Raw genomic sequence first — 1263 nt, 5'->3', positions numbered from 1 at the left:
CTCCACCAGAAACACTGCTCAGCCTCCTCTTGTCCCTGCTTCTCTTCACATATCTTCTAGCTAAACCGTATGTAACTAACCTGCACAATGTGCACATGTACCCTAAAACTTAAAGTATAATAAAAAGAAAAAGAAAAAAAAAAGACTGAATTCCTCTTCATCTTTTCTTTTTCTAGTAGCTTAAGCTTAGTTATTGTCTCACCTTCTGCAAGGCTTAGTTTCCTCATAATCTGGCTGTGCTCTTGGCCTCTATTCTACATTATACCCCCACTATACATTATTTCATATCAGTTTCTACTATGAGTCCCCTCATATTCTGTATCCCGAATCAGATTCTCATAGGTAAGCATATAATTGGTCCAACTTGTTCCTCTTTGAACAGTTTTTTAAGCTAAATCACCCCATGAGCTGCTCTCCCATCATACTTTGGCTCCCTCTGGTCTAAGCAGCCATATTAAAGGTGGATTTATATGGTTTAAAATATGGCCACCTTCAACTGCCTCTTTAGCAGCAGTGGTGGATATGAAAGACTGTGATAGCCCCATCCAGTACAATCTTGTTTGCTGTATCTTCTCTCCTTATGCTCTGGAATAATAACCCCTCTCTAGGCAAAGCCACAGCAACTACATCTGGGTTCAGTGGCATCTTAGACATTTGTATATATCAGGAGGATCTCTACTATCAAATAGAGCTAAAGACCAAATGGCTGGCCTGGAGATTACATCAGCAGCAGCACTGGAGATCGCCAACACATGTCCCTACCAAAGAGCATGTTTCAGGTGAGACCACAATGCAAAACTATTTTAAAACACTTAGCTTGATTTTACAGCACATTTTTTACCCCTATTGGTTAATCATTATGTTCCTAATTTTGGCATAGCGTAAATCCAAAAAAAATCCTCTGGACAAACGTATCATTTTAAGTCAGCAAATTATTTTTAGTTCTTGGTCATTAAATCCTAACATATATCTAGCACGTTTGGCCTGTAGCAATTGTATTAATTATTGATGTTTTAAACTGCAGAAAATAGTTTATCATGTGGGCAACAAACTAAGTAAAATATCCCCTAAACTTGGAGATATAGGGCACTATTTCTTGAGATATCAGATCGGGCTGTCCGAGTCCTGTAGAGCAGCTGGCTCAATCCACCTCTGCAGGGCTCGAAGCTTCTAGGCAGAACAGGCAGAAAAGCTGCATTGTGGGTGCCCCCAAGTGGGTACAATTTGATGTGCACGCTGAGGATTTTCTCGCCAGCTCCTCTA

General features: G+C 40.2%; 1 annotated feature.

Annotated features, from left to right (window-relative positions):
* Window positions 1124-1263: a silencer, noted in NCBI's record as "silent region_12134". NCBI's record gives its function as "represses an Ori minimal core promoter by ATAC-STARR-seq in GM12878 lymphoblastoid cells {active_cell/tissue: GM12878}" and the evidence as "EXISTENCE:reporter gene assay evidence [ECO:0000049][PMID:35858748]".

Source organism: Homo sapiens, chromosome 2 (assembly GCF_000001405.40).
Source record: "Homo sapiens chromosome 2, GRCh38.p14 Primary Assembly".
Taxonomy (NCBI): Eukaryota; Metazoa; Chordata; class Mammalia; order Primates; family Hominidae; genus Homo; species Homo sapiens.
The sequence above is the reverse complement of the archived record's forward strand: the minus strand, read 5'-3'. Positions and strand labels throughout refer to the sequence as shown.